The 22,440-nt window shown below is 37.2% G+C and overlaps 1 protein-coding gene across 3 annotated transcripts in view; it reads left to right on the forward strand.

Moving 5' to 3' along the window:
* The window catches only part of MACROD2 (mono-ADP ribosylhydrolase 2), a 2,057,682-nt gene that overhangs the window by 655,565 nt on the left and 1,379,677 nt on the right, over positions 1-22,440 (forward strand). The window lies entirely within an intron of this gene.

Here is a 22,440-nt window from a genome sequence, read left to right on the forward strand (position 1 = left end):
TCTAGGATCAGATAAGTTTGGAAGGTACAGAATTAAATGTCATTAAATAGATTTACTTCTTGCAGTATTACTCATTATGCACTGTGAATTTCCAAGACAGGGACAGCGTATGCTGCATTTCCCAAACTTGTATGGTCTGATGAATCCACCGAAGACAGTGCTTTTATAGGGGGACGTCATGATGCCAAAGAGAAAAGAGCTTAAGAAAGGAGTTCAACAGGTCAAGAAGATTAGTGCATAGGAACTTACAGAGGGGAAATTGGTGCCTCCACAGCATTAGTTAGAACTAGACCCTGATATAATAGGGGACCAGAAGAAAGGAGGGCATGAGGAAGAGAGGACTGGGCTGCACATCCTGGCTTTGACTGGAACATATTTCCCAAATCCTTGGTGATCAAAGCCAAAGTAAATACAACCAAGGTTATATAGGAGTAATAAGTGATGGAGGTAGGGAGTCAGCTGGATGAGGCAGAGACTGGAAATCCTTGTTTTGACCTCAAGCCTCAATCCTGAACCATATTGCTATATTGAAATATAGTCAAGAAATGAATGTATCATGCATAGTGGCATGTCAGGAAGTTCAAGTGTGAGAAAGCCACTTTGTTATAGGCCCAATTCCTGGAGGAGGATATATGCCTCTCCAGATCCATTTGGCTTCACTTGTCTCCACAGCTGTGGCAATCAGTTCTGCATGGACTCCAACTATCTTCCTGTGGGGACTGCCGACCAGTGTCTCATCAAATCCCATTCCCACTGCGGATTTCTGTGTTGGTGCTACCTGGGGAACTCAGGCTGAGGCAGTGTCTCACCTAGGTAGCAGCCTCTGTTTCTTGTTTATTTAGAGAGTAATTATGAATTCATAAACTTTCATATTATTACAAATCTTACTGGAGTATCTAGTAGGGGCTTAGTTATATGCTAAACAGTTGTAGTTTGAAAAGCCATAATAACTCTGGTTATTTGACAGATATCAAGGCAGGGCAAAGAGATACCCAACTAGGGTAGGTCATCCCATCAATATTTTGGAAACATATGATTGCCTCACATTGTATATCCTTATCATTGTTTTCTTTTAATTATTTTACATATAAGTTTAGACAGTTGACTGTTGGGAATTCCTATTCAGAGATTTATCTTTTAACCCCAAATGATTAACCTGTAAGCTGTGACTTTCAGTGTTCTGGTATTAACAATAATTTTACACATTTCAAAATTATAGTGGAAAGTAATTTTACCATAATATTTTATCTCATATAACAAGAGCATGGTATTTCTTTTGTCGAACTGCAGCTTTTGTAGATACCATACACATTATTAATTTCAAACATATCATTTATTCCACTAGAATTCCATTTTTTCTTACCTAATTTATTTCCCTTTTTAATACTGAGAAAAACAGTATGAGATTGACTATTGAATTTAATAAGATAGTAACTTAACACAATAACTAAAAACATTGGAAGTTTAAAAACAACAGTTTTTTCCTAAACCTGACTCGAAAACCATTGACATTTTAGCAAACAGATGGGTTTTATGTACCACATAATGAGGTCCTGGGCTCACTCAAGACCACCAGGTTGAAGGAATTCTAAAGCTGGAGATCTTTTAAAGATGGCAAAATGACTATGAGATTATCTAAATATATAATTAAGGAAAATAGATCTTTTCTGTTTGTCCTTGGTAAAGTCCTCAAGGTTGCATATGACCTTCCATTAATTTTCTTCAGTCCCAATAGGTGTTTATTTTGCCACTGGGAAAGAATTAGGATTTAGGTAATGTCTTTGCCTCACACTTAGGCTTCCTAACATGTTATAATGCACTCTATGTTCATTTCTTGCCTGTGTTGCAGTATAGCAATATGGTGAGGACTAAGGTTTAGAGTCAAGCAATTCAGGATTTCCAGTCTCTGCCCCATCATTTATTAGCCGTGTATACCCTTGGTTAAGCTGATTACCCTCTCTGAGCCTTAGCTCATGAAATGAGGGCCATATAACTCATATCACTCTGTTGCCCAGGCTGGAGTGCAATGGCGTGATCATGGCTCACTGCAGCCTCGACCTCCTGGACTCAAGCCATCCTCCCACCTCAGCCTCCCAAGTAGCTGGGACTATAGGCATTCACCAACATGTACAGCAATTTTTTTTTTTTTTTTTTTTGAGACGGAGTTTCGCTCTGTTGCCCAGGCTGGAGTGCAGTGGCACAATCTTGGCTCACTGCAAGCTCCGCCTCCCGGGTTCACGCCATTCTCCTGCGTCAGCGTCCTGAGTAGCTGGGACTACAGGCGCCCGCCACCAAGCCCGGCTAATTTTTTGTATTTTTAGTAGAGACGGAGTTTCACCATGTTAGCCAGGATGGTCTCGATTTCCTGACCTCGTGATCTTCCCGCCTCGGCCTCCCAAAGTGCTGGGACTGCAGGCGTGAGCCACCAAGCCCGGCTGCAATTTTTTTTTTTTTTTTAAGAGATGAGTTCTCCTTATGTTGCCCAGGCTGGTTTCACACTCCTTGCCTCAAGTGATTCTCCTGCCTTGGCCTCCCAAAGTGCTGGGATTACAGGCATGAGCCACTGCACCTTGCCTACTATAAACCTTAAATGATATAACGTGTTACAGCAGACTGTGTTAAGAGACCTCATTTGTACACCTCAGGTGTTCTTTACTGAGAACACTTCCTATTCCTTGCCTTTATTCTGGCTGCAGGAGCATGGTTGGCTCATTCCAAGGCAAACTGGAAGTCTACAAAAGTAATGCCTCAAAAAGCAGTCCCCTATTTAGAATACCTCTGAGGCATGTTTTACACGTTTTCCAGAGTTCCCCAGCAGAACTGATGTCCAGTCGCCCATAGAAGTTGCTTGCTTGACAGTACCTCTTTCCCTTTCTTTCCTGACCGCATTTCTTTGTCCCCTTCTAGTAGGTTTCCTGGGATCTCTTTTCAAATAAATTACTTGTACCCCAATTTTTGTCTCACAGTCTACTTCTAAGGGAAAAATAAGGTGTGAAAAGCACTTAGTATTGTGTCTGGCACATAATATATTATAATAATTATTAATTTCAGAAACATATTTAATTCGTTCTTTTTTAGAAAAAGAAACCAAAAGTGCTATATTTTTGTAAACCACTCTCATGGTAGCCACATCAGTTACAGTTATTTTTCATTTTCTCTTATTGTTTTTAAGAAATCATTCTTTGGCTAGTCTCGGTGGCTCACACCTGTAATCCCAGCACTTTGGGAGGCTGAGGCGGATGGATCACCTGAGGTCAGGAGTTCAAGAGCAGCCTGGCCAACATGGTGAAACCCAGTCTCTGCTAAAGTACAAAAATTAGCCGGGTATGGTGGTGGGTGCCTGTAATCCCAGCTACTTGGGAGGCTGAGGCAGGAGAATCTCTTGAACCTGGGAGGTGGAGGTTGCAGTGAGCCAAAATCGTGCCTTTGCACTCCACCCTGGGAGATGGAGTGAGACTCCATCTCAAAAAAAAAAAAAAAATCATTCTTTGAAAACTTGTTTTCTATTTGAACAGCAAAACCAGGTTCAACAAGTGAATTTGGGCAATGACTTTACATGCACTAATTTTTCTGCCTTTTAAAATACAATTTTCTGACACCTATTTTGGTCTGGCAGTTCATCTGAAAAATAAAAGCAGAATTTTAAATGTGTAGGTAAGAAAGATTCTATTAGTTTCCGACAGCACTGTAGAAAAACAAGAGCTCTCTATTTCACTAAAAGCGCTCAGTTCCCCCTTTTTAGCAAACACTGAACATTGATAGTGTGTTATGATAAATTAACTACAATACCTTTGGAGGTCAAGTGTCTCAGAAAAAAGCAACAGTAACATCTTAGGCAAAATGGAAAGCATTAGATTCACACCTGTAACTCATTAATTTTAACCAAGAGTTAGATTTCACAGAAAGCAATTACTAGGATGGATTGAGTTCTTTCATACACAGGGTTGTTTTTTTTTTAATTGTAAGACTGTTAAATATTTTCTCTGACTATAGTTGCCCTCAGCAATATCCAGAACTAGTGGCTATGGATTACTTCATTGTTTCTTTCTTTGGTAACTGAGAAAGGTTTAACTATTTATTACAACGTTTAAAAAGTTAGATTAGAAGAAAGGATGCTTCCATCTATTTCATCTTTGTATTCTAAAAGAGTGTAGCTCTACTGTCAGTGGAATAACAGTGTGATAAATGCACTAATTACATCTGCCATACAAAGCTTATATATAAATCCAAAGTGGACACTGTGTGTGTGTGTGTGTGTGTGTGTGTGTGTGTGTGTGTTTTGAGGGTGTGCTTGTGTGTGTTCCTGTCTGAGTTTTGCTTCTGTGGTTGTTCATTTGTTAACAGTTATCTGTTTACAAGCTCTTTAAAGATGAATAACTTAGTTATTCAAACATGATAAAATCGTGTTTGGTCGGGTCTTGGTGTTAAAATTTACCTGACCTGACTCTTCTCAAATGTCTCTCTTTACAAATTCCAGTAACTTTATTGCTAAGCTATAAGAGGAATTTTTTAGCTTATTTTTGCTTTGAGTCTGTTTTTAACTTTCTACAAATAATTTAATATCCCTTCTCTTTGCCTTTTCTTAATGAAGCAGCATTTCTATGTGTCTCCTTTCAGGGATGTATGTAAATGTAGCTATATTGTTGATAGATTAACATAATAATCAAATAGAAATTAACTTCCTGTGATTCATCAGTAAAACTCTATGGACCTACTTTTACTCAAAATTGTTGCTGTCAAGCATTTCAGGTATGAGTTAATTGGCTTTCTAGAAAATGATAGAGGCTATCCTAAATCTCAAAGCTCAATGATATCTTTTTATTTTCTGAGATGCCATTTGTCACCATAGCTTATTATACATGGGCTGATTCTCACTCCCTGGAAATAGAAATGAAGAAAGGAGCTGTAGGGTCCCCTGCCGCCTTCTATAAATGAGCAAATCAAGGACCAGAATATCTGTGGGACTCCTCCAGAAGCTCTTACAGTTACTTACATAGCTAAGTAAGAGCAAAGGCTGGAAGTAGAACCCACTTTTCCCATAGCCAATCCATTTCTCTTTTCTACCAGGTGTCTTGTGGCATTTCCCCAGGGGACTACATCTTATCTGCTGTAGTAGAATCATGAAGGTCATGAAATACTGGAGCTACAAGAGATTTCGGAGGTCTGCTCCCCCCCACCCATTTTATACTTCAGAGGAAGAAACTGAGTACAGAGAGTTGGGTTGACTAAGAAATTCATATAGCCAATTGGCGATCTCCTTATAGCCATTCTAACTTTAAAAAGGTGGGGATTAAACCTGCTTTCAAAGCACAACCTGAACTGTTCCCTCATCCAAGCTTAAGAGAGAATCCATGACACCATATAAAACAGCTCTTTATTTCCACTGGCAACAATGGATGTATCCTAGTTCATTTGAACATTTTCCTCTCTCTATGATATAGGTTAGCTGGTTTATTTCTATATCCTTGCCAAAACTGGCAGTGCATATAGGCTGAACCATGCTTGTGGAGAAAACACTATTCATATTTCATTATATTACCTTCAGCAGCCCTTTACTGGCATTATGACTAAAACGCGTGTCTCCGAGTTGTTGCTGGAGAAATGGCCGGCCAGTGAATTTCGCGTCAGACCAGTGACTATTCCAGTTGATATGAAAGATGTCATTACTCTGGGGGTTATATTGTGGTCATCAGGATATTTTCTAGTACTCCTGGTTCAGAATTTTGGAGTATTCATCTTGAAAATTGATGTCTGTCCTCTATTTTGGGGGGAGATTTTCTGTGTGCTGTCTTGGCTTTCTTTGTTTCCTAGGCTATAGGTAAGAGTTAAGACGTACATGAGTGTCTTCTAGTTAATAAACCTCACTGCCTTCTCACATGGCTGCTGTACATACCTGTCATAACATGTATGTGATATACTCTCTCCCACACATACCTATGCACACACAGACTCACACACTCTCACAAGAAGGGAAATACATACCATTCTTGCCATAATGTTATTTCATACATTTGTGCTTTATTTAACATTTTTCAATGCATTAGTATTATGAACTCTTAAATTAATGTACCAAAGGGCATTTACATAACTTTGAATATGTTGATTCAAAATCATTACAAAATATAATCTAATAAGTTACAGAGCCTCATTCAATGATTCCAGTTAGCATCCGCTTCTAAGCGTGCTATTACTTATTCATTAGTAGAAGCCCTTTAATTTTATATTCTGCTCCTGGCAGTTGTGGCTTATTTGGTACTTGTTACAGCCACTTTAGACAAGTAAATAAAAATCAGATGAAAAATCCTCAGCAACAGCTGGAAATAAACCAGTAGTTTCTGTTTGGGTTTGGCAGAGTGAAGCACTGCAGGGCTATGCATGGAAAAATACCAGCCAGAACTGTTACACACTGTGAGAAAAGATTACATATCTCTAGGGTTTTGGCCTTCTAATTACTAGGGGGTTTCTTTGTCCATGAAGAGTGCCACCTGCGTGGTTGGGCAACAATATAAAATAATTAAATCATTATCACAAGGGTAATAGTATACGTCTTTCTGGTTTAGCTGTGATAAGAAAACCTTAAACCTGAAATACATTAAACAGTGTAGAACATATGAAAAGCCTCTTTGAGAGGCTTATTCTTGTTGTTATTTAAAATTTTCCTTCACTAATGTTTAGTTCAAATACATGATAATTCTAGGGAATTACCCGTCTTTATCAGACCACCCAAGGAAGGAAGATGCTCTGCCAATAAGTAAAGCCATTGGCCTGTAAGAACTTGCTTCTGACTTCTAAGTCACACTCATTTTGATAAGCAGATGTCTTCTAAAATGACTGTGTGGCTTAGCATACTGAGCTGTTTTTCTTTCCTTTTCCAAGACAGTATGGACATAGTTAAAAAAAAAAAAAAAAGACGAAAGATTGTTAAGTACCTGATAATTTCAATAACATATTTGTAGTAACTGCATTGCAGTTAAGCCTTATTTAAAGTAAATTATCTATTTTGCATCCTTTTTTTTCAATAAACAGTTTCACTTCTAAGATGATGAGGGAAAAAAGATGATTAAGGTTTAGCAATCTTGTTGCAAGCTTATTTAAAATTAGTTGTTTAATTATCTACTTCAGATATTATTTTGCCAACTGGTTATGTTCATGCCCTGATTAATTATTCTTTTCTTCCAAGTTATACTCATTTTGGAAAAATCAGGTTTAGCCATAGCATGTGAAGCCCTTAAAATTGTCTGGAGACAGATATCTTGATCTCAGAAACTTAAATTATCTTAATACTTTCTGGAGTAAGACCAGGAATGGAAGAAGAAGAGAGAAATATTTCTTTATTTTTCCTAATTTTATTTCTTCTTTCAGCAGAGGAACTGTACTCTTAAAATTAGAGGGTCAGAGCCCTTGCTCTGCTGCTGAATTTATCTCTTACTTGAGGAATTAGGCACAATCTAAACCCAGTACTATTTATTTCTCCCTTTAGAAATTGAGGAAGTTACCTATGGCTAATATTTTTCAAATTTATGTATTTTGTTTGTTTGTTTGTTTTTTTGGGAGATGGAGTCTCACTCTGTCACCCAGGCTGGAGTGCAGTGGCACAATCTCGGCCCACTGCAACCTCCGCCTACCAGGTTCAAGCAATTCTCCTGGCTCAGCCTCCTCAGTAGCTGGGAATACAGGCACATGCTGCCATGCCCGGCAAGTTTTTTGTATTTTAGTAGAGATGGTCTTTCACCGTGTTGCCCCGGCTGGTCTCAAACTCCTGAGCTCAGGCAAACCACATGCCTCGGCCTCCCAGAGTGTGGGATTACAGGCATGAGCCACATTGCCTGGCCTCAAATCTACATTTTAAAAATATTTTAAAATAGCGATTTTCAAACATTAATATGATCAGAATCACCTGCAGGGCTTGCCAAACTCTAGACTGTTGGATTCCACCTCTAGAGTTTCTGATTCGGTAGGTCTGGGATGGATCTCCCAAATTTGCTTTCTAAAAAGTTCCCAAGAGATGCGGTTGTTGCTAGTTCCTGAGATCACACTGTGGGAACCAAAGCCTTACAATAACTAGCCTTTTTCATGAGAGAATGGTAAGGAAATATACCACATATCAAGAGAAGTTATCTCTTGGGTTATCGGAATGTTAGTAATTTTGTACTTACCCTTTTTTCCTCTATTCTCCATATGTCCTACAAGTTATGTATAATACATATATGATTAGAAAAAATAATGAATGTTTTTGGAAGAACACTTGTTGAACTAGAAATTCATTAATCTCTATTCATTCTTCCCTTCTGATGTCTTGTAGCAATATAATAATGTCAGTTCTCCTCACCTGCTGGGGACAGACACTCCTTTCGATGTCTTTTGAGGGAGCTTTCACTCAGCAACCACCAGACAGTTGCTTGGTTCCTTTTAGAGTGCTGTCTTTATTGTGCCAGAATTTAGTACAAGAGGTGCTGGCTCTCCAAGATGAGCAAATCCCTTAATTGTATTTCAAAAATTCTCCCCAGTTTTTTTTCTCTCTACCCTCCTCAGGTTACAATGCTAAAAGTTCTGTGTGGGCCTAAACACTAGTGGGAAAAAGCGCCTGGTGAACAAATGCTGGGTGGCATGCCCACTCAGACATAAAGAAGTTCTGCTCACCCTTTTGGGAGTGTACTCATTTTTGAGAAATTTGCCTCACTTAGAGCTCCTTAAAATAAATCAAACAAAATTATATATAAAATATATGCTTTCACAATTTCAGCCATTTCTTTTGGTGTTTCTCTTCTAATAACCTTCTAAACGTTGTTGCTTTATGTTTTTATCTCAGATTTTTGAAAACAAACTAAATATAGCACCCTAAAAAACCTTTCAAATATTTTGGATTCTTTTATTTATGACTCTTACAAGCATGTGAGGGGGCTTGTTTAGAGAGAATAAAGGTTATAACCTGGTCTGTCTGTTGAGACAGTGATTTTAATCACATTTAATTCCCATTCACTCTGTATGTTACTTGATCCACTCATTGGTTTAAAAGCATATTGATAAATACAGCCATGGCTTAGCCTCTTGCCCTTCATCCCGTCTAGAGTTGCATCCAGGCTTAAGTGAGTTTGCCACATTTAGATGTCATACTTTGTTACTGATGAGATCCTTGCTAGATAGTGGAGCCTATGTTTTTCTAGAGAAAAGTCCATATTCCATTATAAAGATAAATAAATAATTTGTTTCAGAAGGCTTTCAAGATGTTGGCTTATAGTCAAACTATAAGTAACAGCTTGAAAAACCTCAGTGCTTCTCACATACATGTTAATGGCTGTTCTCCTTCATAAATACTTTGAAGTGTTTCAGTAAATATTTTCCTAAAGAACTTTAACTTATTTGCTAACTTATTGAGTATCAAAATGTATGTTGTATATGACACTATGCTAGGCATATATATACAATATTATCCATAATTTTTCTAAATTTTTTTGCAAATCAGATAAATTTTTATTTTAAGATTCAGGGGGTACATAAGTAATTGTTACATGAGTGTATTGTGTGATGCTGAGGTTTGGGCTTCTAATGATCCCATCACCCAAGTAGCGAACATAGAACCTGATAGGTAATTTTTCAACCCTTGTCACCAGCCCTCGATTTCTCCCTCCTCTTTTTGGAATCCCCAGTGTTTATTGTCCCCATCTTTCTGTCTATGCATACCCAGTGTTTAGCTCCCACTTATAAGTGAGAACGTGCGATTTTTGGTTTTCTCTTCCTGCATTAATTGACGTAGTGTAATGGCCTCCAGTTGCATCCATGTTGCTGCAAAGGACATGATTTTGTTCTTTTTTTTAATGGCTGTGTAGTATTCCATGGTACATATGTACCACATTTCCTTTATCTAATCTACCATTGATGGGCACTGGGTTGATTCTGTCTTTGCTATTGTGAATAGTGCTGGGGTAAAAATACAAGTGCAGGTATGCTTTTGGGAGAACAATTCATTTTCCTGTGGGTATATACTCAGTAATGGGATTGCTGAGTCAACTGGTAATTCTGTTTCTAGTTCTTTGAGAGATCTCCAAATGGCTTTCTACAGGGGCTGAACTAATTTGCACTCCAGCCACCAGTGTGTAAGTGTTCTGTTTTCTCTGCAATCTTGTCAACATCCATGATTTTCTGACTTTTTATTACTAGCCATTCTGACTGGTGTGAGATCCTATCTCGTTGTGGTTTTGATTTGCATCTCTCGACATTTAGTGATTTTGAGCGTTTTTTCATATGTTTGTTTGCCACTTATATGTCTCCTTTTCAGAACTGTCTGTTCATGTCCTTGGCCCACTTTGTAATGGGGTTATTTGTTTTTTTCTTATTGAGTTGTTTAAGTTCCTTATGGATTCTGGATATTAGACCTTTATCACATGCATACTTTGCAAATATTTTCTCCCATTCTATAGGTTGTCTGTTTACTGTGTTGATAGTTTCTTTTGCTCTGCAGAAGCTCTGTAGTTTAATTAGGTCTCAATTGTCAATTTTCGGTTTTGTTGCATTTGCTTTTGAAGATTTATCATAAATCCCTTGCTGAGGCCAAGGTCTAGAAGGGTTTTTCCTAGGTTTTCTTCTAGGTAGAGCAAAACTTTAAATACACATTTAAAAAATATATTTTCTTCAGAAACCAGGATGCAAAAGAAATTTCCAATATTCCTATATTTTATTAATAAATGTATGAATTTGAGCAATGAAAGAAAACATCTCAATTCTTTTCAAAAAACACATTTTCCTTCTTTTTGGTGTTGTAATAATATGCTCCCAAGTGACATGGAAGTGACTACTTCTACTGGTCATCAGTGGTAGGATGGGAGGGTACCAAATCTGGCAGCAAAGAAGTTTACAAATCATATTGTAAAAAATAAGCAATTGTGAGAAACGGTTATTGCAATAAGTTCCAGAAATCATTATGGACTTCCATAAATCATTAAACTCCATAGCAAACTTAAGTACATTTTAGTTGGATTGGATTCTGGTTCAGAAAGCTAAAAAGGACATTGCTGGGACAATTGGCAAAGTTCTAAAAAGAACTAAAAAAAGATGATAGAACTGTACCAACATCCGTGGAACAGAATAGAGAACCCAGTAATAAGGCCACACACCTACAACAATCTGATCTTCAACAAACCTGACAATAACACACAGTAGGGAAAGAATTTATTTAATAAATGGTGCTGCGATAACTGGCTAGCCATATGCAGAAGATTGAAATTGGACCCCTTCCTTTCACCATATACAAAAATTAACTCAAAATGGATTAGAGACTTCAATGTAAAACCCAAAACTGTAAAAACCCTGGAGGAAAACCTAGGCAATACCATTTTGGACATAGAAACAGGAAAATATTTTATGACGAAGACATCAAAAGCAATTGCAACAAAAGCAACACTTGACAAATGTGAGCTAATTAAACTAAAGGCCTTCTGTACAGCAAAGGAAACTGTCAACAGAATGAACAGACAACCTACAGAATGGGAGAAAATGTTTGCAAACTATGCATCTGACAAAGGTCTAATAATCAGCATCTATAAGGAACTTAAACAAATTTACAAGGGAAAAACAACCCCATTACAAATTAGGCAAAGGACATGAACAGACACTTTTCAGAAGAAGACATACATCTGAACAACAATCATATGAATAAAAGCTCAACAATACTGATCATTAGAGACATACAAATGAAAACCACAATGAGATACCATCTCACACCAGTCAGAATGGATATTATTAAAAAGTCAAAATACAACAGATGCTGGCAAGATTGTGGAGAAATACACTGTTGATGAGAGTGTAGATAGTGTAGATTATTTTAACCATTGTGGAAGATGGTGTGGTGATTCCTCAAAGACCTAAAAACAGAAATACCATTTGACCCAGCAATCCCATTACTGGGCATATACTCAAAGGAATATAAATCATTCTTTTATGAAGACACATGCACACATATGTTCATTACACTACTATTCATAATAGCAAACACATGGAATCAACCTAAATGCCCATCAGTGGTAGACTCGATAAAGAAAATGTGGTATATATATACCATGGAATACTATGCAGCCATAAAAAGAATGGGACCATGTTCTTTGTAGGACAGGGATGGAGGTGGAAGCCATTATCCTTAGCAAACTAACACAGGAACAGAAAACCAAATGCCACAGGTTCTGACTTCTAAGTGGGAGCTAAATGATAAGAACACATGGATACATGGGGGAACAACACACACAGGGGCTTATTGGAGGGTGGAGGGTGGGAGGAGGGAAAGGATCAGGAAAAATAATGAATGGATACTAGGCTTAATATCTGGATGATGAAATAATCTGTACAACAAACCCCTCTGACATAGGTTTACCTATATAACAAACCTGCACATGTACCCCTGAACTTAAATGTTAAATGAAAACATAATAAAAATAAAACAGGGATGTATACACACACACACACACACACACACACACACACACACATGCACACATATATATATATAAAATGATGTGCATATATAATGGTCATATATATATGAGGTAAAATATTAACAATTGAGAAATCTGGATGAAGGAGATATGGAGATATAGGAGTTCTTTATACTGGCTTTGCAAATTTTTTAAAAGTTTGAAAGTATTTTAAAAATAAATTATGTAAAGGGATCATACCATATGTAGTTACGCATTAATTGTCACAATGTTTCTCTGATTATTTACATCATGGCATTTAGCTTTACAGTTAAACTATTTGTACAAACTCTTGGTCATATAACATTCTGAGAAGACAATTAATTTTGGCTTTGAATAAATAAAACACTAGAAGAATTGTTTTCTCCTTACCACTTTGTGTCTTATGGCCATTAACAAAAAATACTGATAGATTGACTTTACTTTTTATGACTCTTTTAGTTTTCTAGTTCTAGAACGTATATTACAATTTTAAGATCTAATTAAAGCACTTTATCGCATACAGTATTGTCTCTTTTTTTCACTGTTGAACAACATATTTTTAATTTTGAAATTCTTCTTTTCCATTACTAATGGTAAGAATTAGATGATTGTTGGTTTTACAAAAATCACAATAGATGGAAAAGAAAACACTGTATTTTCTCACATGTGCATCAAATACCAGGGTTTTGGCTCATAAATCAGAAGAGCACAAAAAGATACAACTGGAGTCCTTCCTAGTTCCACTGTTACAGCCAAAATGCTGACATTCAGGCATATTTCCAAGACCCACGTTTCGGTAAGCCCTTATGTGCTTCGAGTGGGCTGAAAAGAATGTGAAATAATTTCACATGGCACCTTTTACAGAAGGCTGTGTGAGGAACACAACATTCTCTTTGAAAGAGAAAGTCATCTTTGTAATAATAACCATTGGTTGCTTTCTTTTTTTTAGGCATGTAATAACATTAGAAGATTTACTTTGGAACTTGTTTGGACCATTATCAACACGTTAGTTTTGGTGACAAAATTTGCATTTACTACTGTAGAGCTGTAATACCTGAAAGATGCACCATCCTGACTTGGGACTAAGAGCAGCTCTCAACCTCTTTTATTCCCCTCAAAACCAACACCAGTGCACAAGTACCTCTGATATTAGATAAAATAATGAAGCTCACAGTAATTATAATGCCTATTATTTTATCAGCATCTACCACGTTCTAAGTGCCTTACATTCTTGATCCAAACTAATCTTCAAAACCATCCTTAAAGAAAAAAACTTTTCATGTTACAAATAAGGAAACTGAGGCCCAAAAGAGCTAAGCAGCTTGCCTAGCATCAAAATAGTATTGATGGACAAGAAATTCACCTGTTCTATGTCACTCTGGAACCTGTGCTTTTTTCACAAAACCTGTCTGAAGTTAGAGGGGTAACAAATGGTTACTAGCATGGCTAAGAGAAGTTACATGTGGACAGCACTCGGATTTCAACTAGTTGGCAGATTATGCTTGCTTCAGTGGGGTGGGAAAACTGACAAATCCTCTGACATTAGGGCAAAGAACTTTGTTAGATGTCATCATTATTACAGGTGACTCTGATGCCATTTTATTAAAGGCTGTATCTTCTTTCTGTTTCTATCTACAATGCTTAGTGGTACACAACGCATGACAGGTGCCTAGGAAGTCTTTGTTAAATAAAAGAGTGAATGAAATATGTAATAGAGTAACTTATTGAATGGCAGCTTAATGGCCTTAGTGACCAGAATTAACTGGTCAAGAGTTAGGGGGGTATTGCCAGTTAAGATTTCAAGAACAGTTTTTTTTTTTTAACTGCAGTATGGGTGAAGAAGGGTGAAGTAGAAAAGTTTACAAAGAATTAAGAACTGATTTTGAAAAATGATAAGCCCTGACCTAATGAATTACATTTTAAAGCATTCTTTAGTTATGGAATAGGAATATATAAAAGCAGTGATTATCTTCTTTTTTCTTCACTGTTTCCAATTGGTTGTATTTTTTTTTTCTCTCCTCAGCTGGAAATGCCTAGGTTCCACAGTTACAATGTCTGCTGATTTTATATTACTTAAGTCTTGTAGTTTTTTCCTTTAATTGTGAAGCCATTCTTACCTAAGTTCAATCATATTGGAATAATTTTCATACTCCTAAATTAGTATATTAGAATTTTTTTTCCTCAACCTATCTTTACTAGCATAATTAACTTACATATATCCATCCTTTAGATTTCGTTTTCTTCCACAGTCACTGGAAGGTGGTTCAAATTCTCCAGGGCACTTTTATCTTCCCATTCAAAACATGTCCATTTACATTCTCCCTGGATTGTGAAGCATTATGCACTCCATATGAATGTGGAGGCACCATTTTCTTCTGCCTCCTAGTAATAAACTGCTGTTTTTCATCAGTTTTAATATTTACTTTCAACAGAAACTGTCAAGATTGCCATTATACTATTTGCTAATAGGAGGCCTGCCCTTTTTAAATATGCTTTTTAAAAAAACCCAGATTCCTTTTCTACAGGGCCGAAATTAAAGCAGGTTATGACCATGGCCCGTGAGGCATGGTTTTATGACTCTGCTGAAATCTCAGCCTCCTGCTCCTCCCCTTGAGGGATAAGAAGCAAATATGCTTTGGTAAGATTGATGAAGCAATGATATCCCCAAGTATATTCCTATTAAGTTCCGGTTTCACAGAACTTACAACAGGGTAAAACCCCCAAATAATAACTTTCTCCAGATATTTATGATACATAGTTTATAAATTATTACCTAGCAAAAATACTCTTGTATACAAATAATCAGTATTTTCTTCAAAGAGAGCATATTTCTGGATTAATTTCTGAAAACATTCTTAGCAGGGAAGTTTCCAGAAAGTTGGGGACTTTCTGTATCCCTTGACTTTTGATTTCTGTGCGACAGAGCTCAGTAGTAAATTGTCCTTACCATCCCTCATTTACCTTCTAAGGTACTGAGTCATTGTAGAATATTTTTAACATCTTGTGTTTCCAGACATTGCTTCATTTGCAAACTTAAGAACATTTAAATATTTAAGAGTATTTATTTTTTAAAACAGAGATTTCATACAAGTGACACAGCTAAGTCCAAACACTGTATTATTTATGTCCCCAGCGCTTGACTTTTTGAGTTTCTTTTCTTAATATTTCAGTTCTAGAGATTTCATGTGATATACTAGATACCAATTACTAAAGTGTTGTTCAGAGAGCAGAGGGTTAAAATGTTTTCTTAGTGAATTCTTTAAAAACTGTAGCTGTGGAAGCAGGATTGCTCTTGTTTCATCCTGACAGGAATGGTAGATTTAATAGGTTCCCCAGAGCTTTTTATCGCATTATAACTCTTTCTGTGATGGTCAGTTTTGGGTCCACATTATGTGACCTGACTTTCAACTTGTTTGAACTGCTGTCAGGCTGCAGAGGAACTGAAGGCTACTAGATAGTCCTGTAGTTTTCCAGTTGGGAAAACAACAATCCTGCCTGAAAACTTCTGACAAGATCCAATACTGTTCTTCTTATAGCAAAACTGAGTCAGCCTGATACCTGGAAAAATCTTTACCTGCTCAAAGTAAAGCAGTGTGGCCAGAATGCCTTATCGTAATGTAAATCTGTGTTGCTTTGCTCTATAATAACAGCTTGTCTATCTCTTGTGATCATTCATTCCCTGAGGTTGAAACTATTATCATGTCAGCAGAGCTCCCTTCTCAGTTAGCTTGCATTGCTAGCCAGCACTCCTGTATAAATCTTGATGTCTCCTAAATGTTCTCCCTAGATCCAGTGTGTGGTATTTAAATTAAGGAAGCTCAGACATGTCTTGAAAGGAACTGAAGTATTGCATTTAGTCTTGCCAATCCACTGATTAAAATTCTTGCCAAGTGTTACATTATGCACAGCTTCCTTATTTTGGCTGTAAATTTCATTGCATATTTTTCTAGGATGAGAAAGTTTGTACTTTTTATTTCATAAGCCCACATAATAAACACAGCTTTCTTCAAAACCGTTTGAGGTGTTGGATGCGTGTGCTGTGTTAAATATAGGGCTCCTTTGTGGAGGAAAGCACATGTGGCTCATTTTAACTTCACACACAAGCATTTTAGACGGGGCAAAATGGTTCTGCTGGGTAAAAAGAAAATAGACATTTCGATGAGCTGCAGGATTATCCAAGCCATAGCTTTATCCTCTCTGAAATCTCTTCTATGCACTTGAAGAATGAACAAAACTTTCTTTATGGACACAGAAGAACCCACTCTCTTCTCTCCTATAGCCACTGCCACTCATTCTGCCCCTGTATTTTAAATTTTTAGTGGGTGAGTATGTGAATCGAAAGCTCTCAGAGCTGGGGGGTGGTGGCTCACACCTATGATCCTAGCACTTTGGAAGGCCAAGGCAGGCAGATCTCTTGAGTTCAAGACCAGCCTGGGCAACATGGCAAGACCCTGTATCTACAAAAAATACAAATATTTGCTGGGCATCATGGTGCCCTCCTATAGTCCTAGCTACTTGCTACTCGGGGACTGAGGCAGGAGGATGACTTGACCTCAGGAGTTTGAGGCTGCAGTGAGCTATGATTGCACCACTACACTTTAGCCTGGGCAACAGAGTGAGACCCTGTCTCTTAAAAAAAAAAAAGGCTCTCACTTTTCACTAAATAAATGCTTCTCTAGCATAAAACTTTGTGTAGCGTCCTTTCAGCTACCATTCTGAAGAGAAAACCCCAATGTCTTAGAGAGGGAACAAATAGATTTAGAGGGAGATTAGCAGAAGCCATAAAATGCATACTTTGGACCCAATGACTGGGCCTGCATTTGGAATAAGGGGTAGAAAACTGGATAATTCGCTCCATTTACTTCTGTAAATGTATTTTTCTTTGGTAGCAGCCTTGCAGGAGAAGGGCATCTTTGAAGGTCTGGAGGTGGGGCTCCACTGACATTCAAATAACGCAGGCCTAGGGTACAGGGACTGAAAGCTCACTGCACTTTTGATTCGGATTGGGATCCTCCCATAGGTTCCATTGGCAAATGACTACTTTCTTAACAAAAAGAAATAGTTCTATAATTAATTTTTCTTAAGGAAAATCATATCTCAACCTATTAATTTAGAAATATTTTAAATGAGTACATGGGGATACAAATTTAGTTATACAAATCACATGTGACACTGTTCATGCTGTTCGTATTTCAGTATAGATTAAAATTTTTTAATGCTAAAAAGAGCTTTTCTTGCTCTTAGAGTTTTTTTTCATGCACATTTCCATGAAAATTTAGAAGTTATGAGGGCAAAATCTTCATCTATACACAAACACTTTTTTTTAAACAAAAAGGAGTAAAATTTCATCAACATTATGAACTATGAGCCCTATTGAATAATTTTTTCCTGTAAAAAACAGAATCAAGTTATGAAATGAAGAAAATAATTAGGTCTTTGCTAAAACTTAGTCTTTATTAAGCCCAACTTTTTCTTAATCAGAAAAAGATGTCAAAAGGAATAATTGTATTGCTTGACAAAGTGATCAAGATGTTTTCTGCTCCTAAGTTATTTCTTCATGTGACAATCATTCCTTAAAGCTCCTCTTAATAAATAATGGAAAGAAAGAAAGTTGATGTTTGGATTGGGGCAATAAATGTCATCTTTATGTGTGTAGTTTGGAGAAACGGGCTTCTTGTTTGCCATCTCCTCTCCAGAGTTACAGATACAGTGTCATTGGTCCTTTTAAAAGTATGGAAAGCAGAGTGAATGGCAAAAGGTTTGCCAAAACAGATTATCTTTTGTATGCGTCAAGATTTTATATTTTTGCAAATATACATACACAGACAGGCTTTTCAAAACCATTTTCCTTCAGACATCCAAGTAAAAGTTCAGAGTGATTTCTTTTTTGCTCCTTAATATTTTTAATCCTTTATCATCTTACCTAAAGCCATTTAGTATTTCCTGGAGCAGATGGGGTATAAGCCATAAAATGACATATTTACTTCTTTGTAGGAAGAAAATTAGGAGAAGAGATTCTATAACACGATTGAAGTTTAAAAGCTAAATTCCTTGAGGAAAGATTATCTTTCTCCATAGATCTCATTCTCTGATAAAACAAATGAGGTTGTCTCAGAGGCACCTGTTAATATTGACCTACATCATCCCTAGTTCTGACCTTGTGTCCCCAGCCACTGGGAAGTTTTTGGTAGAAAAGGAACTATTAAGTTGGTTCGTTTCTTATTTCTTGGAAAGAGAAAGGTCTCCCTCCCCTTGCACTTCTGCTTGATCTGGTCTCTGAAGGAGACTTCCACAGAAACAAGGGCACAATCTGTGCCTTGCAACTACGCCTATCATTTCCTCTTTACTTAAGGTCAAAATTTCCATTACTGCTTAGACTCTATTAATAATGGGTTTGAAGATTATTTTGGGGAATTATTCCTTCAAGGAATATAGTGTTAGGACCTGCGCCTTGAGAAGGGTCTCTGCCTGGATGGAGGAACGAGGATGCTCTTGAGAAAGAACTGAATTGTGAATTTTTTCTTTTCAAGTAAATTTCCCAGTTGTTTTAAAAAAAGGTATGTTGCCGAGCTTTTGAGGAACTCTTCAGAATACCAGAGATGTCTTCAATTTAATAACATCTTACAGCACCGTTTTCACCAGCTAGTATATCCTTTGCCTGAAAATCCCTGTCATCTACGATGATGAATTTACTCCTCATTCAGACTGTCTCTCTGAAATACCAGAAAAATATGATCTTCATTCTCCTCTCTGGACCCTTTAGTAGTACCTAACATGAGTAAATTCAGCCTCATTGTTGATGGAAATATCCCTTCCTGGTGAAAACTGACAGAATCTAAGCAATCTTAAGGTCCCATGGCTACCAGTCTGGCACATTCTAGGTTTTTCCAGCTGCCATTTCTTCTTTAGTGGTGTGGTCAGTTCTCCTCTGGCCCCTTCAGTGAACTGTTTGGGGTTTTACCCACTCTGGCATTGTCTTTACAATGTTTCGTCAGATCAGAATTTCCCAGTAATTTAACACTTCTGTAATGACCAAAGAGAAATTTCTTATCCAGAATGTCAAGGAATATGTCTCAGATAAATGAGATGTATGCCTACAACATTTCAAAATGGCATCAGGCTTCAAGTTACAGAAACACCATCCACATCCTAGGTAGTGACTTACACAAAACACAAAGTCATTTTTTAAAGAAAACAACTGTTTTCTCTCATTGAATGAGAAGTAGTTCAGGGCTAATGTGACTCCTTCACAGATGATGTCAGAGATTGAGACACCTCCCAACTGTTCTTTCTACCACACCATAGTGTAGTCAGCACGCCCATGTTGACTAGATGGCTGCTGAAGTCTTACCCCCATGTGGTTAGTCTTAGGCAGGAAGGTGGATGAGTAGGAAATCAATAATAATAAATAATAAATAAATAACAAAGATCTGCTATGGAAGTAAGCCCTCTGTAATAAGCTTGCCTGGAAGCCCCACCTAATGGCATCCACCTCCATCTAAATTGGTCACTCATCTCTTTTTCATCTTTGAAAGAGATGCTGATAAATGTACATTCTAAATTGGGCATATAGCCTGCCCACTAATATAGGGATTCTGTTACCAGGGAAAATGAGAATTGATAGTGGGTAGGCAACCACCAATCTATGTCATAATGACATTTTCTTTGATTTAGAATTTCTTTTTAAATTGGGATCATGCGTATGTGGAAGAAAATGCATGAACTAGGTCTTAAAATATTTTGTTTACTATGAATTTAGCATCTGAAAAATACATCTTTAACATACTCTGGGCAGGATTTTAATGAGCTTGACTTTTTTGCTCTCAGACCTAATGATGAGATATAGGTCATTGTTTCATATTTTTCCAAGAGATTTTAAGGGTCTACTGTAAACATTTATGAGAAACATTTTTTTTCTCATTTGCTATTTCAAGTTCAGAAAGAGGAATGAAAGTCACTGTTTCTTGGGTATCTGCATATTATTTAGATCTTAGAGTCTAGGAGAGAGAAGCATCTCTTGGTTTTTAAAGATCAGTCCCTACGTTTTTGGATTTGAGATGAAGAATGCTAGTGTGTGATCTGTAACTAAAAACTGCTCCAGTTTCCTGATGTGTAAATATTTATTCTATTATACTTATCATCTTCTCCTAGGATCACGGCCCAAATCTCATCTTCAAATTGACCAACAAGATGAGGAGGTTCATAACAAGTTATTTTTTAAGTCAGCCCAAGGCAGGCTCAAATAAATTAACCAAATTCCTCACATCTGTGAAGCTTCAAGATGTGGATCTCCTTGTCATTGCATTGTATTTTCTTAGAGATGTTTCTTCTGCTCCCTAAAGGAAACACTGATGCTATTCAGTACCTGACACATGAATCTTTCATGCAGGCTATAGGTGACCTCTAATGGAATCCACTTTTTACCTGATTACTTCAGCTATATTGTTTTTCCTCCCCAAGGGGTTAGGACAGCTATTTAACCTTATTGTTTTGTGTCTTCCTTTGAGAGTGGCTTCTTGCTTTGTATCCCTTCTGATGAGGATGATGATGATGATGAATATCTGTGTAACAAACCACTTCCAAAGTTTAGTGACTTAAAACAACAGCTATTTAATTATTGATTCTATGGGTTCACTGTAAAGCTGGACAGTTCTTTTTCTGTTATCTGGCCTCACTCATATGTCTGGTCAGTTGCCAGGAAAGCTGAATGCTGGCTAGTCTAAGTTGGCCTCCGCTGAGATGGCTTAATCCTGTTCCATATAATCTCTCATCCTTCAGCTAGCTGATCTGGACTAGTTCACATGGGAGCTAAGCAGAGTTCTAAGAGAGTGAGCAGAAATGTGAAAGGCCTCTTGAGACTTAGGACGAGTACTGGCACAGAGTCACTTTTGCCTCATTCTATTGACCAAAGCAAGTCATGAGATTAGCCTAGATTCAAGTGGTAGGGAAACAGATTGTATCTCTTGATGGCAGGAGCTGCAGAGTCATATGGCCAAGGGCATGGATACAAAGAAAGAAGTAATTGCTGCAACCTTTATGAAAGGTCTACCACATTAAGATTCTTCGAGCACTTATTCAGGCACTGTATGAGCTAAGCACTGTACATGTTATCTCATTCAATTCTCATAAGAACTCTACAAGGTTGATACTAATATTATACCCATTACATAGATGCAAAAATTCTAAGCGACAGAGACTGGCATTTTGATTTTAAAGCCCTTTTAATTACCAGATCTGTGGACTCCAAATGTTCTTGATTGTATAGTTCTCTCAGTACAAATATTTTGAACATGTACTTATATGTATGTGTATGTTTGCTTATAAATTACATACAAGTACTACTGTCATCTATATATTAAATATTAATAAACTTGAACTTCATTCTTATCTTTTTAGATAAAAATTATAAATATCAACTAAAGTTTCAGTGCATTTTTTCATCCTTTATATGAATGTCTTGTAGCCTCACTTTGGAGACCATGCATCAAGCGGCTCCTTATGCCCAAGATATTTCATGATTCCCATGTATAGCGTTAAGTGAAACACTGTTTAATTGAAATCCTACTTGTCATTGAGTTCAGTTCCAGTTCCAGTTAATATTGCTTGCTTTCAATGCAGACTTTTAAGGGTGGGGACTCTTCCTTTTTGGATATTTGATTAGGACTTGCGGAGGAGCGTGAGAGCAAGGCTTTAATTAAATTTAGAGAGGCTCTTTTGATTTATGAGAGTCAGGACTCATGGTTTCATGTGTCCAGTGAATACTCAGATCACTTAACACAGGGCCCAATTGCTCATCACTTTCTGGAGCTGTGTCAATAAAACAAGATAACGTGGAGGAATGCTTCTCAAAGTTCTCAGTTGGCAGTGTGTGTCTCTGTTATCTGCAGAGATTACGAAATGCAGACTCTGGGTTTCCATGGCTGGAGAGACTGATTTTACAGATTTGAGGCTGGGTATGGGAATCTGCATTTTTACTAGGCTCGCTTGGTGACATTGA

This window comes from Homo sapiens, chromosome 20, assembly GCF_000001405.40.
Source record: "Homo sapiens chromosome 20, GRCh38.p14 Primary Assembly".
NCBI classification, from domain to species: Eukaryota; Metazoa; Chordata; class Mammalia; order Primates; family Hominidae; genus Homo; species Homo sapiens.